The sequence below is a fragment of the Homo sapiens genome, chromosome 1 (genome assembly GCF_000001405.40).
Source record: "Homo sapiens chromosome 1, GRCh38.p14 Primary Assembly".
In the NCBI taxonomy this organism is placed as follows: domain Eukaryota; kingdom Metazoa; phylum Chordata; class Mammalia; order Primates; family Hominidae; genus Homo; species Homo sapiens.
In genome coordinates this window covers 222641232-222654497 of record NC_000001.11, presented here as the reverse complement: position 1 = coordinate 222654497, position 13266 = coordinate 222641232, and the positions used below count along the sequence as shown (strand labels likewise).

The 13266-nt window shown below is 37.8% G+C and overlaps 1 protein-coding gene and 1 pseudogene across 10 annotated transcripts in view, besides 6 other annotated features; one reads left to right on the top strand and one right to left on the bottom strand.

The window, feature by feature from the left end:
• Positions 1-13266, bottom strand: part of MIA3 (MIA SH3 domain ER export factor 3) — a 49911-nt gene that overhangs the window by 13510 nt on the left and 23135 nt on the right. For 5 of the 10 annotated variants that reach the window (NM_001324064.2, NM_001324062.2, NM_198551.4 and 2 more), the window contains 11 exons: positions 8813-8944; positions 5648-5669; positions 4118-4206; positions 3787-3864; positions 3595-3705; positions 2450-2521; positions 2166-2270; positions 1368-1490; positions 1159-1270; positions 200-255; positions 19-109 (listed from right to left, as the gene is read on the bottom strand). In NM_001324064.2, coding sequence (NP_001310993.1) covers positions 19-109; positions 200-255; positions 1159-1270; positions 1368-1490; positions 2166-2270; positions 2450-2521; positions 3595-3705; positions 3787-3864; positions 4118-4206; positions 5648-5669; positions 8813-8944 — 991 coding nt within the window. Of the gene's footprint in view, positions 1-18; positions 110-199; positions 256-1158; positions 1271-1367; positions 1491-2165; positions 2271-2449; positions 2522-3594; positions 3706-3786; positions 3865-4117; positions 4207-5647; positions 5670-8812; positions 8945-9911; positions 10170-13266 lie in introns of those variants that run through there. The other 5 variants (NM_001324065.2, NM_001300867.2, XM_006711304.5 and 2 more) reach the window with 3 other exon arrangements.
• Positions 9442-10317: an enhancer, noted in NCBI's record as "NANOG-H3K27ac-H3K4me1 hESC enhancer chr1:222817523-222818398 (GRCh37/hg19 assembly coordinates)". NCBI's record gives its function as "activates a minimal SCP1, AML or CMV promoter by ChIP-STARR-seq in primed H9 embryonic stem cells {active_cell/tissue: H9 hESC(primed)}" and the evidence as "EXISTENCE:reporter gene assay evidence [ECO:0000049][PMID:30033119]".
• Positions 9442-11195: a biological region, named in NCBI's record as "NANOG-H3K27ac-H3K4me1 hESC enhancers GRCh37_chr1:222816645-222817522 and GRCh37_chr1:222817523-222818398".
• Positions 9762-9841: an enhancer, noted in NCBI's record as "active region_2580". NCBI's record gives its function as "activates an Ori minimal core promoter by ATAC-STARR-seq in GM12878 lymphoblastoid cells {active_cell/tissue: GM12878}" and the evidence as "EXISTENCE:reporter gene assay evidence [ECO:0000049][PMID:35858748]".
• Positions 9912-10521: an enhancer, noted in NCBI's record as "active region_2579". NCBI's record gives its function as "activates an Ori minimal core promoter by ATAC-STARR-seq in GM12878 lymphoblastoid cells {active_cell/tissue: GM12878}" and the evidence as "EXISTENCE:reporter gene assay evidence [ECO:0000049][PMID:35858748]".
• Positions 10318-11195: an enhancer, noted in NCBI's record as "NANOG-H3K27ac-H3K4me1 hESC enhancer chr1:222816645-222817522 (GRCh37/hg19 assembly coordinates)". NCBI's record gives its function as "activates a minimal SCP1, AML or CMV promoter by ChIP-STARR-seq in naive H9 embryonic stem cells {active_cell/tissue: H9 hESC(naive)}" and the evidence as "EXISTENCE:reporter gene assay evidence [ECO:0000049][PMID:30033119]".
• LOC107985098 (prefoldin subunit 5-like) lies at positions 10393-13200 on the top strand (annotated as a pseudogene).
• Positions 10592-10711: an enhancer, noted in NCBI's record as "active region_2578". NCBI's record gives its function as "activates an Ori minimal core promoter by ATAC-STARR-seq in GM12878 lymphoblastoid cells {active_cell/tissue: GM12878}" and the evidence as "EXISTENCE:reporter gene assay evidence [ECO:0000049][PMID:35858748]".

Sequence of the window (13266 nt, the reverse complement as noted above, 5' to 3'; positions counted from 1 at the left end):
TCTCAAGAAGCAACCTACCTTCCAGGTTACATTTAGTGGACACGGAGGCTCTTAGCTTAAGCTGTAAAAGCTTTAGATCCTCTTCAACTACCGATATTGCAGTCTGTGTCTAAAAATTGCAGAAGAGACAAGTATTCATAAAAGTGAGGCATAGTAAAAGTATTCACAGGCAATTATGGGACTCTAAAAACGATTATACCCGAGAGACATCCATCATCTGCTTAATTTGATTTTTCATCTTCTCATTCCGGTCACCTAAAAAACAAAAGGCTTTCTTTCATTGCTTTTTCTTCCCTTGCTTTTTAAATCTATATTTTCTTGATTTACCCAAAACTAAACAATTGTCATGTTCAAACATTTAAAGAACAAACAAAAACAGAAAAGGATTAGACTGACTTTTAAGAGAACTGCAAACTTAAGACTGAAAAAGTGAATTCCCATTTGTACAATAAACATGTTATACATGCCATTATTGAGCAAGAAGAAACATGTGAGATAAAGCTCTTTCTTCCATCTGGGCTTAGTGTCTTATTCAGAAAGATTCCCTCCTATTCTCCTCCAGAATCTACTACCAGGTGTGGTTTAAAACACCCACTACACAAGCAATATCCAACTTGAGAGAGGGCATCTAGAAACATTTTCCTCATCAGTAAACACTGCAACACTATAGCCTCCACTCTCATGGCCTTAGTTTATGGATCCAACCACCTCAGTACTCTCAAAACCAGTTGTGGTTTTCTTTCATGGCCTTAGTCAGTTTATGCCTCCAACCACCTCAGTACTCTTAAAACCAGTTGTGGGCCTTAAAACCACACAGCTACTGAGATGACAAGTTTTAAAATGTTATCTCCATGAAATTGAAAAACAAGTTTCTACTACTGTATGTGTCCAATACTTAGAGGTGTAAGACATGACCAGTGCAGCTCCCGTGCACCCTTCTAGTCTCAATGTGAAAACAAAGTCAGTGTTCACTGCATGCTTACTGCTACACCTCACCCTAGCAATCCACCTCTGCCCAATGCAAACAGACACACATTCAAATCCAATGTATTTACACCTCGAAAGCTTAAGAGGAAATGCAGCCAGCTGAAAAGTAGCACTGGTGCACTTAAAGACAGGAAGGCAAAAGGGGTCCATCCTCCTTGAGGCTGATCTTACCTCCCACTTCTCCATTTGCTAATTCATCTGAATCATTTCCACCTTTATTTTGACCCTCAGATTCAGATTCACACTCTAACAGATTCAACTGTGTAATGCAGTTAGTCAAAGCCTAGAAAAGAAGTAAAAGGGCATTAAGAGTCTTTCCATTTAATTCAACAGATTTGATAATTCACAAGAATTAAGCTTGTATTCATGAACGCACTTACATTAATATTATCATCCTTGTGAGTAAGAGCTACTTCCAAATCTTTCTGAGACTTCTCAAATGATTTGATTTGCTCACTGAGCTCAGCATGTAATTTACTCCAGTCTTCGATTTCCTGCTGCAACTGCAAAGTTAAAACACATGATTCCCACAGGTTAGGGCTTTTGCACTGGAGACATTAGGACCACATGAATGAGACAGGTAAATAAGGAACCATGCCTCTCCTTGGCCTATCACTATGGGCTAAGACCTTGGTTAAGTGGGAGGAGACAGTGGCCCCAACCCTCAGAGCTGTAGTGAGAACATCAGAGCTATCAAGGAAATTGATCTTGTTTATTGCATCCTTCAGAAAATTGTAGCCAATTCAAATAATTCACTTCCAGAAGGAACAGAAGGGCTCATCCTACTATCTCCCAAGTCCACACTCCTGATCATGTAACCTTCCCTTGGCTAGTGAAGCAGTAACTACTCAAAGGAGGGTTATAAAATATCTAACTCTTGGGTCTAAAAAGCCAATCTACTACCCACTCGAGGCTACTCAAGTTAATAGCAATTGGTGTCTGACAAAACAAGACTACACACTCTGATAGCCAAAATAAATTGTACAGAACAGAAAATCCAGAACAGATAGAGAATGTATACCTACACTCAATTTTGGAAGCATAGTTTAAACTTTGCATATCTAAGAACAGAATCCTGCACATATATTACCCTAAAAATAGATCTGAGTAAAGGCATTCATGAGGTATGATACTGAGTTCTCTATTTTACATGACCTGGGACACGCACTTTCCTTTACCTGCTCTTTTTTCTTCTTAAGCCTAGCATTTTCTTCTTGAACCCGATGGCATTCAGACTTCACCTTCTCTTCACTAAGCTTAGCTTCATTAAGTGCAATCTGAACCTAATGCAAAACACTCCTATTAGTGAATTAATTCCAAAGAAAACCAGAAAAAGTTACTTTTCCAACCCAACATCATGTAGTTTTCATTTTTTGCACATTTTAGCATATATCAAATTTTTGCTCTGCAATCAAACTATGATATAGTATTAATATCCTGCAGGAATTACAGTCAGCTTTACCTCTGAAAATTCTGAGGCATTCATTGAAATAACATCCTTTAACTTCTCTATAGATTTCTTGTTTTCTGATATCTGCCATGTAAAAACAGAACACAAAATGCATATTAGGATTTTAGTAGAAACACTGGGATACATACTAAGAAGAAGAAACATCAACAAAGTATGTCCCAGAGCCATCCCCTATGTTTCAGGTAAAAGCAGGTGTTTCAGTTTTGCCCTCGGGAAAAATCAAGAACTTAAAGAGGTAAGGGAAAATAATCAAAGGCATAAATATTTCACAGCATACACAACCTTCCTGGTTAGAATAAAATGTGGTAGATGACCAGACTAAAAGGTGAAAGAAAAGAAACTGAAAAAACTTTTAAGTAAACCAGTTCAAATCAATGTGACTTTTTTTTTTCTTGTGGCAAGAGAAAAAAATAATCCCCAAGGTACTTTAATTTAGTACAATTTGACAATTGTTTTGTCAAACACCAATTGCTCTTGCCTAAATTAAAAATGGTAGGATTGGAGTGAGAATAGACAGATCACCCATATAGAATTCTAGATAATTTATGAAGATTCTGGCTCCTCAAGAGGATGGAGCATAACCCTTCACTTTTTAACTGTGGGCTGCGATAGTAACTTCCTTCCAAAGAGTACAATAATGCAAAAAGTTTAAAAAAAAAAAAAGTAATTTTACAGTGAAGAAACCTGGCAATACTACCTCAACGAGGTCATCAAGATTAATAGGGTGTGGGATTTATGGAACCCTCTCTACTATCTTTGCAACTTTTAGGTCATTCTAAAACTATTCTATTAATAAAATAAAATGTTTATAGCAAAAAAAAAAAAAAACTTTGCAAAACAAAACAAAACACAAGGACTGTTCAACTGGGTTTCTTAGTTGTTCCACATGTTTCGGAGGGCAGAGCCAAGCAATATGACAATTACCTAGGGTTGAGAACCAAAATACTTCCTAGGCCTGTAAGAATAATTTCTTGTGTAAGTACTTAAAATTCCACAAAAATGGACAGAAGTAGGTTCAACTTCCCTGACTCGCACTCTTACTTCACATAACAGCATGGAAAATAAAGAGTTCAACTCAATCTACAAAAGAGTTCAAAACCCAAATTATTAGTAATACTTAGCAGCAAAACTCTTACCAAGTCCTGATTCTTGACATTCTGTTCTCTCTCAGATTCTAGCATAACACGAAGATTTTTAGCTGTGTCATCCAGAATTTCCTGATTTTTTTCAAGTGTCTTGATTTTATCCTACAAAAAAGATATTAAGGTTAGTTATACTCATTACTTTTACTTTTGTTTTAAAATGTAATCCCCAAAAGAAGTTTTTACCTTATATTTAATTGCTTCATCAGAGAGAATCATATTTTGTTTCCTGGTTTCCTGAACATGTTTCTTTGATTCCTTGATCTATATAAAATAAAGCATTCAGAATCCAGAAATATAAAGTATAGTGCTACCAGAACTTATTTTCAAGTGACTGACCTCTTACAGAAGAAAACAGTACTTTACACATATGACTGCTTAAGATCTGGATGGTTTATAGGAATTAATGTAATAATAAATACTATTTAAAAATACCATAGTAACTGAACTATAAGATAGGTGACAAATAATTCAAGCTGGGACCATGAAAAAAAAAAAAAACAAAGAATAATCATACCTTCTGTTCATAATTTGACAATTTTTGTACAAGTTCTGTATTTTCTTTCATGATAGTCTTCAACTTCTCAGAAATTTGCTGTTCCGTGACTGAAAAAAGAAAAAAATAATAAGGTTATTATGATCACTAAATGAAATTGAATTACCCAATGTATCAGCAGCAAAGACATGTTATCTTGCACTATGACAAAAAATAACTTCTCAGCATAACTATTATGGTTTTAAAAAGTGATATGGTTTGGTTCTGTGTCTCCATCAAATCTCATAACAAATTATAGTACCCAGTGTTCAGGTGGGGCCTGGTGGAAGGTGATTGGATCATAAGGGTAGATTTCTCATGAGTGGTTTATCACCATCCCTGTGGTGCTATTCTGTGATGGTGACTGAGTTCTTGTGGAATCTGGTTTTAAAAGTGTGCAGCACCTCCCCGCTCACTCTCTCTTGCTCCTGCTCCCACCATGTAAGATGGCCTGCTCTCGCTTTGCCTTCTGCTGTGAGTAAAAGCTCCCTGAGGCCTCCTCAGAAGCAGATGCCGCTATACTTCCTATAGCCTGCAGAAACATGAGCTAATTAAACTTCTTATAAATTACCCAGTATCAGGTATTTCTTTTTTTGAGACAGGGTCTTGCTCTGTTGTCCAGGCTGGAGTTTAGTGGTGCAATCTCAGCTCACTGCAAAGTCCGCCTCCCAAGCTCAAGCAATCCTCCTGCCTCAGCCTCCTGAGTAGCTGGGACTACAGGTGTGTGCCACCACACCCAGCTAACTTTTATATTTTTTTTATAGAGATGGGGTTTCTCCATGTTGCCCAGGCTGGTCTCGAACTCCTGAGCTCAAGCAATCCTCCGCTTTGGCCTCCCAAAGTGTTGGGATTACAGGCATGAGCCACCACACCAGGCCTTGGGTATTTCTTTATAGCAGTGTGAGAACAGATTAATACAAAAAGCAATCTGCTAACAAGAATAAGGATGTAAAAATACGGTTAGAATTTAAGAAAAATATAATAAGAACCTTTATTTCAATGAGAGTTTAATTTATTTCCAAGATGGGAAATACAGTAAAATGTTATAGCTCAATATTCCTCCCTGCATGAAGCATCTTTCTTCTCAGAAAATGGCATCACTTCAAATATGTCATTTGCAAAGAGAAACAGAAAATGCAGGCGTGCTGATTTATATTTCTAGTTCTCAAATTATCTACTTAAATAAATATTTAATGTACTGACTAAATCATTAGCACAGGGACACTGGTCACATGTAATAAATTGGTACTACATCAACATTTAAGGTCAATCTGCCCCAAATTAATGATCTTCTCCCTACTCCCACAATTCGTTCCTCCTCATCTCCCATCTCAGTTGGTAGCATCACCATTTACTCTATCATACAACCTGGCAACCTAGGAACAGTAAAGTTTTCAGAAGCTATAAGTCAGTCAGACATCAGAAGTTACTAAAACTACTTATATATAAAATCCATATCAAACACCAATACAGAGGGACTAGTACAAATAACAAAAAAGCCTAAAGATTTACCTTGATATACTCTATCCTTCACCTAGAAAAGAGAAATAAAATTAAATTTGATGTCAAACATTTTATTAATAGATGTATATAGTTTCTAATACAACTGTCAGAATTGTAACCAAATGAGAATTTAATAAAACTTTGGTTTAGCATAATGAATCCTCAAGATGAAAAAACTTAAAAAGGTTAAAAAGCATTTCAAATTTAACCAGTAGTGATATGTTGTGGTCTGACAGATAAAGCACTGAGGTAAATATCTTACTTTGCACAGCTAAAGATATGTTTATATATCTAAATGAGCACCAGTCTTACGAAATGAGCACTTAACTTGAATAACAGAAATGGCTAATATTTTTGTAATAAATATATTAACGTTTTATTTACTCAAAGTCACTTATTTGACAACTCCAAATAGCCAGAAAGAAATCTAAAAACAACGACTACTCAAAAAGACTCTGAGGAAACATAATTAAAGGTATGATCTTCGTACTAAGATACACACCTCTTTTGCTCTCCAGAAAACATCTCAGAAATCCTACTCAAAGTTGACTACTGGCTGAATTTAAAAATAATGCTATAAATACTAAGCTAGATTATGTGATTTTCCTAGACCACTAAAAACAGTGCTCATAAACCTGACAGGGAAGAGAAGACTACTAGAGGAAAATGCATAAGCAACAAGAGAAATGACAACTATCATCTTCCTGAAAGGGCACCCAAATCATCCCCCAAAGACAGCACTAAATTATAGGACAAGAAAATCTAAGCAGTAACTAATATTGTAAAAAGAATATTACTAAATTTCTTTGCAACCCAGAACATATTTTCCCTTTCAAATGTTATGTTGATGAGATACTAACACCAGTCCACAAATCATCCATAAGCTCAGTAAATATACTGTTTACATAATATACTGTATTACTGTATACAATAATTAATATACTGTATACATAATAATTCCAGTATCTAAATCTCACTTATAATACCATTGTTATAGGAATATGCATTCAGAAAATTCCAACATGGAAAGAAATTACTATCTCTCTAATGTCATGGCCTTGCTAATTCCTCTGCTCCATTTCACCCAAACTAACAGGCAAGCAGAGACCAAGGTTCCAAAAGTCAAGTGCTGAGGCTGAGGAACAGCAGTTAGGACACAGAGCCTATATAACTTTCTGAAAAACGAAAAAGGCGTTAGAATTTTTTTATTAACAAATAGGAGAAACAAGAGTGGGAAATGTAAAATGTTTTCAACTTTTCCCCTTCCATTTACCCTTTGATTCTCCCTTTTTATCTGAAGAAAAGCACCAGGAGGTTAGAGAAGGCCTCACAGGAAAAAAGACCCTTCTTTTTAAGTAATTTTACAATCAATTGTGAGAGAAAATTTATTAATGATGATATATGTGATATAATTATGAAATCAGAAAAAGAGTACTCAGTTTTAGAAAGATTTGCATCCAATAATTTTGGCCATTTTAACTGTGAAGTTTCAATACAAAGCTTTTCATCTGCAAAGCTCATTTACACAAATAATCTTCTCCCAATTATGTTAAATAACTATGCAGCTGAATGCTATATAGTATAATCATAAGGATGTACAAGTATGAGTATACACACTTATACAAACATGTTTAAGTCTGAAAGGCAAATTCTGCACAGAAGATAAAAAAATTAACGGTGTGTCTTTACACATGATATAATTTGCATTTCGAAATAAAAAGATATTTTCTGAGTAAAATAGTACATGATGAAATCAGAAAATCTGGAAAATACACATTTTTTAAAAACTGAAAACTTACCTCATCTCCTAGATATAAGAATTTTTATCATTTTATTGTATTTCCTTGCAGCATTTATTTTCTGTGTGTATGTTTATGTAATATACAGTTTATCTATACCTTAAAGTCTTGGTTTCTACTTTTTTTCTACTTCATGTTAAATTGTGAGTATTTGTTGTGCTCCTATGTCTTTGAATTATATAAAGCAGCCTAATATCCCATTATATGAACATACAATAATTTAACAATTTTCCCACTGTGAATCACAGTAGGTTGTGTCAAAGTTTTCACTCTAATAAATACTGTTCTACTGAATGCTCTCATGTAAGATATTTAAAACTTTTTTTTGAGACAGAGTCTCACTTTGTCGCCTAGGCTGGAGTGCAGTGGCATGATCTGCTTCCCCAGTTCAAGCGATTCTCCTGCCTCAGCCTCCCAAGTAGCTGGGATTACAGGCTCCTGCCACCACCCCCGGCTAAGTTTTGTATTTTTAGTAGAGATGGGGTTTTGTCTTGTTGGTCAGGCTGGTCTCAAACTCCTGGCCTTATGTGATCCACCCGCCTCCGCCTCCCAAAGTGCTGGTATTACAGGTGTGAGCCACCACGCCCGGCCATGTAAGATATTTAATGCATGATTGGTTATTTCTTTCTTTCTTTTTTTTTTTTTTTGAGATGGAGTCTCACTCTGTCACCCAGGCTGGAGTGCAGTGGCACATCTCAGCTCACTGCAGCCTCCGCCTCCCAGGTTCAAGCGATTCTCTGCCTCAGCATCCCGAGTAGCTGGGATTACAGGCATGTGCCACAACACCTGGCTAATTTTCGTATTTTTAGAAGAGATGGGGTTTCATCATGTTGGCTAAGCTGGTCTCGAACTCCTGGCCTCAAGTGATCCGCCTGCCTCGGACTCTCAAAGTGCTGGGATTACAGGTGTGAGCCACTGTGCCGGCTGACTGGTTATTTCTTTAGGATCGATTACTAGACATGACATTAATACAATATAAAAGGATATAACCATTTTTAAGGCTTATCATACACATCATGAAACTATTTTTCAGGATGGCTCTAAGAATTCCTAGTTCTACTAACAGTGTACATATGACCTATCTAATTCTTTCTTTTCATCCTTTGTGAGTTGAAATACAGACCCACCTAATTCTTAAAATTTAGACTTTGATATGAGACATATAAACTGAAGTTTTCCCACTGAGATTATACATGTTGTCTTATTCACTTAAGAATTTACCAACACAAAAATTATACTAAATTATTTTACAAGGTTAGCTTGAATTAAAAGCATTAATTTCTGTTCATATTAGAAACTGAAAAAGAAACAAAAGGACTGTGATTATAAAACCATACTTGAATTTATGAGTTAAAGTATGCATTAATTTACTCACAACAAGGACAGTTCTCCATAAGAAAATGGCAAACGAAGCAATTCCCAAGAAGGCAGTGATAAATACAGGTTTCCATGGCAGTCCATAAAAATCAGGCCCAGGCTGAACATCATCAGGCAATGTAGCAACTAGCTGAATGTTAGAAATAATGTTAGAAATAATGAGAAACCTTAAAGAAGCTTACCATAAAGCAGTCACAAAGACTCATTCACAGAAATTCTAAACCAACTCTATCAGATACCTATCCCCTCAAAAATCTTCAGTAGCTCTCACTGCTTTAAGAAAAACAGGATACTGGGAGTCTCATACTTATTGTTTGGCCTGTGGTGTTTTGAAGTACTATGACTCTAAATGTCTTTAGGTTGGGCATATATTTCTAGTTTCAATAGGCCCTGATACAATATGTTATCTAAAACATGGCTGGAATCTCTCTGCATCATACTTTTGTCTTGAATAAATTGGTTTTTATTGCTTAAAAAACCACATAAGACAAAAAACCTTTTATATACAAGTAACTAACTTTTTATGGCTGCAAATAAAACCAATATGATGATAATGAATATCACAAATAACGTTTTATTCCTCTAAGATTTAAAATCTTAAATCGACTTACATAAACAAAGAACAAATGCTGACTAAGTTCGGATAGCTCCTGATAACTGATCTAGATAAACCGCTTTGAATTTAGTGCCTTAATTCTAAATGTTTCCTTGAAAACAGTGCATTAAACACCTGTCTGCTCTATGCTGTTTCCACAGCCCTTTACAAGTACACTATCACACTGGTCCCATCCCACAACAGAGCCGGGGGTTATGCAGAAAAGACCTGTAGGTTCTCTGTGTTTTGATCATGACTTCACACCAGAACATAAAGTGCTGTCACTTCGTAAGTACTCAATAAAAAAAAAAAAAAGAGTGACGAAACCTTCTCAAACACACTCCCACCTGCCTCCCTAAACAGCATAGAAACGTCTTGCTTTCCTCGGATCTGACACACTCCATTTCTCCTTTGCACAGACAATCAGTGCACCCACTCTGCTTAGAACTCATCCACCCGCCTGTGACAGCTTGGGTCCCTCCCCGGGAATCGGGACTGTCACCTCCAGCAGCTTGGCTATGAAGGCTGCGTAGAGCACAGACAAGGGTCCCACAAGTTCCGGGTCCCCCGGGGTAGCGGCGATAGAAGGCACAGTGGCAGGTACTGAGTCCATTGTGTAGAACAGCTGAACGCAAGCGACAATTCCCTGCGGAATGGCACTGGGCCCCCTGTTTTTCAGAGCTTCCTCCTCCGGAAAGGCCCCAATTCAGGGGGCGGACTCTGGGATTGAACTTCGCCTTCCACAGCTGCCTGCACTTTCGCTTTATGCCGCCTATAAAACACGTCATCAGCCACTGCCCCTGGCGCACCTCAAGGCACCAAAGGAGCCGGCCGGCGAGGGCGGGGCCAGAGCGGACGGAACCAACTATCGAGGGGACGGGAGAGAAGAGCGAATAGGGCTAGAGCGGAAGAATCCCAGTAAAAAGAGGCGGAAGTGACTGGCGCTTTCGCCAGGAACCGGCGACTTAAAGAGCCCCAGAGTAATGAGGCCAGGGATTTACCTGGAGGAGGATTGTGGGCGGCAGCTGGGGAAAAGGAGAAAAGCAGGTCTCTCGTGCCGGCCCGGAGCTGGCCCTTCCTGTCACAGCGTGGAAGGACCACCGCTCAGATGGGGCGCCACTGCAGTGCGCGGCCTTTCTTCCTTGCCCACTCAGTCCTCTGCTTACTGTTCCGCCTCCAGACCTCCATTGCGCTCGCTGTCTCACATTCTTGCCGACACTCTATTAAAAAGTCTTACCCAGGAGTCATGTCATCGTGTCACCCCCATGCACATGGGTTGAGTTATGGGTCCCACTTTTTTTTTTAGATGGTGGCTGCGGGGAAGGGGAGGGAGTCTCCCTATGTTGCCCAGGCTGGACTCGAACTCCGGGGCTCAAGCCATCTAAGAAGCTGGGACTACAAGTGTCCGGCCACATCTTAAGGTTATATGACTTGTGGAAAAGGACAAGGATAATGAATAGTATGGAAATCACGTTCCAAAAGTTGAAGAAACCGGGGACATTTAATCTGTGGGGAAAAAATGGTATCTGTAGATAAAAAATACCATTTTTAGACCTTTAAAGGTCTCTCTTCGAGTTGAATATAAAGTCAACTCAGAGGAACAATCAAGCAAGAACAAGCAGGAAAACCCTGAGAAAGAAGAGCAGTGAAGGGTGTGGTACAAGAGGAGGGCAGGATCTGTAATAACAGTATGGTACTGGCCCAAGGATGCAGACCGACCACGGGGCAGAATAAAAAATCCAGAAATAGACCCAACTGCACTGGAAATTTGCGATACAGCAAGGCAGCTGGTTAACAGACTTTTTAATAAGTGGTATTACATATCTAGATAACAATATGGAAAATGATAAAACTGGATCTTTTTCTCATTGTTCATAAATTCCAAGTTAATCAGAAACCTGAATGTAAAAAATGAAAACAAACAAGTTGAAAAAATTGAGTGACTGTCTCTATGTATTATGTGAGTGGGCAAGACCTTCCTAATTATGTATCAAAATCCAAAAGCAACAAAGGAAAATATTCGTAAATTTGATTACTGGAAAACCAAAAAAACTTGCCCAACCCCATCCAAAAAAATTGCAAAATAATCAAACTTTGGCAATGGTAACCTAAGAAAAAATATTTGTAACATATTATGAAGGATTAATATTCCTAAAATATAAAGTGCTTTACAAATAAGAAGATAGCCGCTAGCAAACCTATAGAAAAATGGGCTGAGGTAATGAACAGATCCCAGGAAAAGAAATGCAAATAATTTAAAAACATATGGAAACATGCTCTGCCTCACTCATGATACAAGAAATACAAAATGAACCTACAATGAAATATGATTTCTCACTTATCTTGGCAAGATCCAAACATTTGACAACACACTCTGTAGGTGAGAGAATGTGGAGGAAGCAGGCACTCTCATGCTATGCTGATCTTTATATAAAATCATACAACCCCTATGATTTGGCAACGTCTCCTGAAATAACTTGTGTATTTACCTACTGACTCAACAATCCTACTTCTAAAGATCTATCTCAAAGATACTGGGGATATAACAACAAATGCTGAAAAAATATATGCACAAAACTATATTATTCCAGCATTACTTATAACAAAAGACTAGAAACAACCAAAATGGCCATGAATGAAAGACATATTAAATACAACAAAGTATACTGTGAAGCTATAAAAGAAAATAATTTTATATACTGCTAGGGTATGCTGTCAGAATACATTTTTTTTAAAAGGTAGAGAAAAGTAGAGACTACTACTTTTATCTAAGAAAGTTAGGATTTTTTTTCTTTACAGCTTTGAGGGAAATATGACATTCAATAAGTTATATGTATTTAAAGTGCACAGTTTGATCAGTTTTGCATATGAATACGCCTGTGAAACCATCATCACAACCAACATAGTGAACCTCCCAAAGTCTCCTTATTCCCTTGGTAATCTGCCCCTTTTCATCCCTCCCTGCCCCTGAAGCAGAATGTCTGTCATAATACATTAGTTTGCATTTCCTAAAGTTTTATATGTATGTAATAATGCACGATTATATTTTCTCTGGCTTCTCTCATTCAGCATAATTTGAAATTCACCCACATTGCTGCACATATCTATAATGGTTCTTTTTTTAATTGCTGAGTAGCATTTCATTGTATGGGTATGCCATAATCTGTTTATCTGTCATCTATAGATAGATATTTGATTTTTTCCAGTTTTAGGCTTTTATAAATAAAACTTCCAAGACTATCACAGAGATGAATCTGCCGCAGCTAGAAATGCTCAAGAACCAGCTGGACCAGGAAATGGAGTTCTTGTCCACCTCCATTGCCCAGCTCAAAGTGGTACAGACCAAGTATGTAGAAGCCAAGGACTGTCTGAACATGCTGAGCGAGAACAATGAGGGAAGAGAATTACTCCTCCCACTGACGAGTTTAATATATGTCCCTGAGAAGCTGCATGATGTGGAACATGTGCTCATTGATGTAGGAACTGGGTACTATGTAGATAAGATAGCCGAGGATGCCAAGGACTTCTTGAAGAGGAAGACAGACTTCCTAACCAAGCAGATAGAGAAAATCCACCAGCTCTCCAGGAGCACACCATGCTGTCATGGAAATGATGAGCCAGACGATTCAGCAGCCCAGAGCCCTGGGGGCAGCTCAGGCTACTGCTAAGACCTGAAGAATCTGTTGCAGAAATGGGGCAGAGGGATACCCCTTGGGCATGGCTTCCTGGTGCCAGGGAAGGGAAGGGTCTTATATTTAATGCCAGTAAATGTGCCAGCTGGGCAGAAAAAATAAACTGTCAAAAACATTGACCTACAAGTCTTTCTATGCATGTATAATTTATTTTCACTTGGGTAA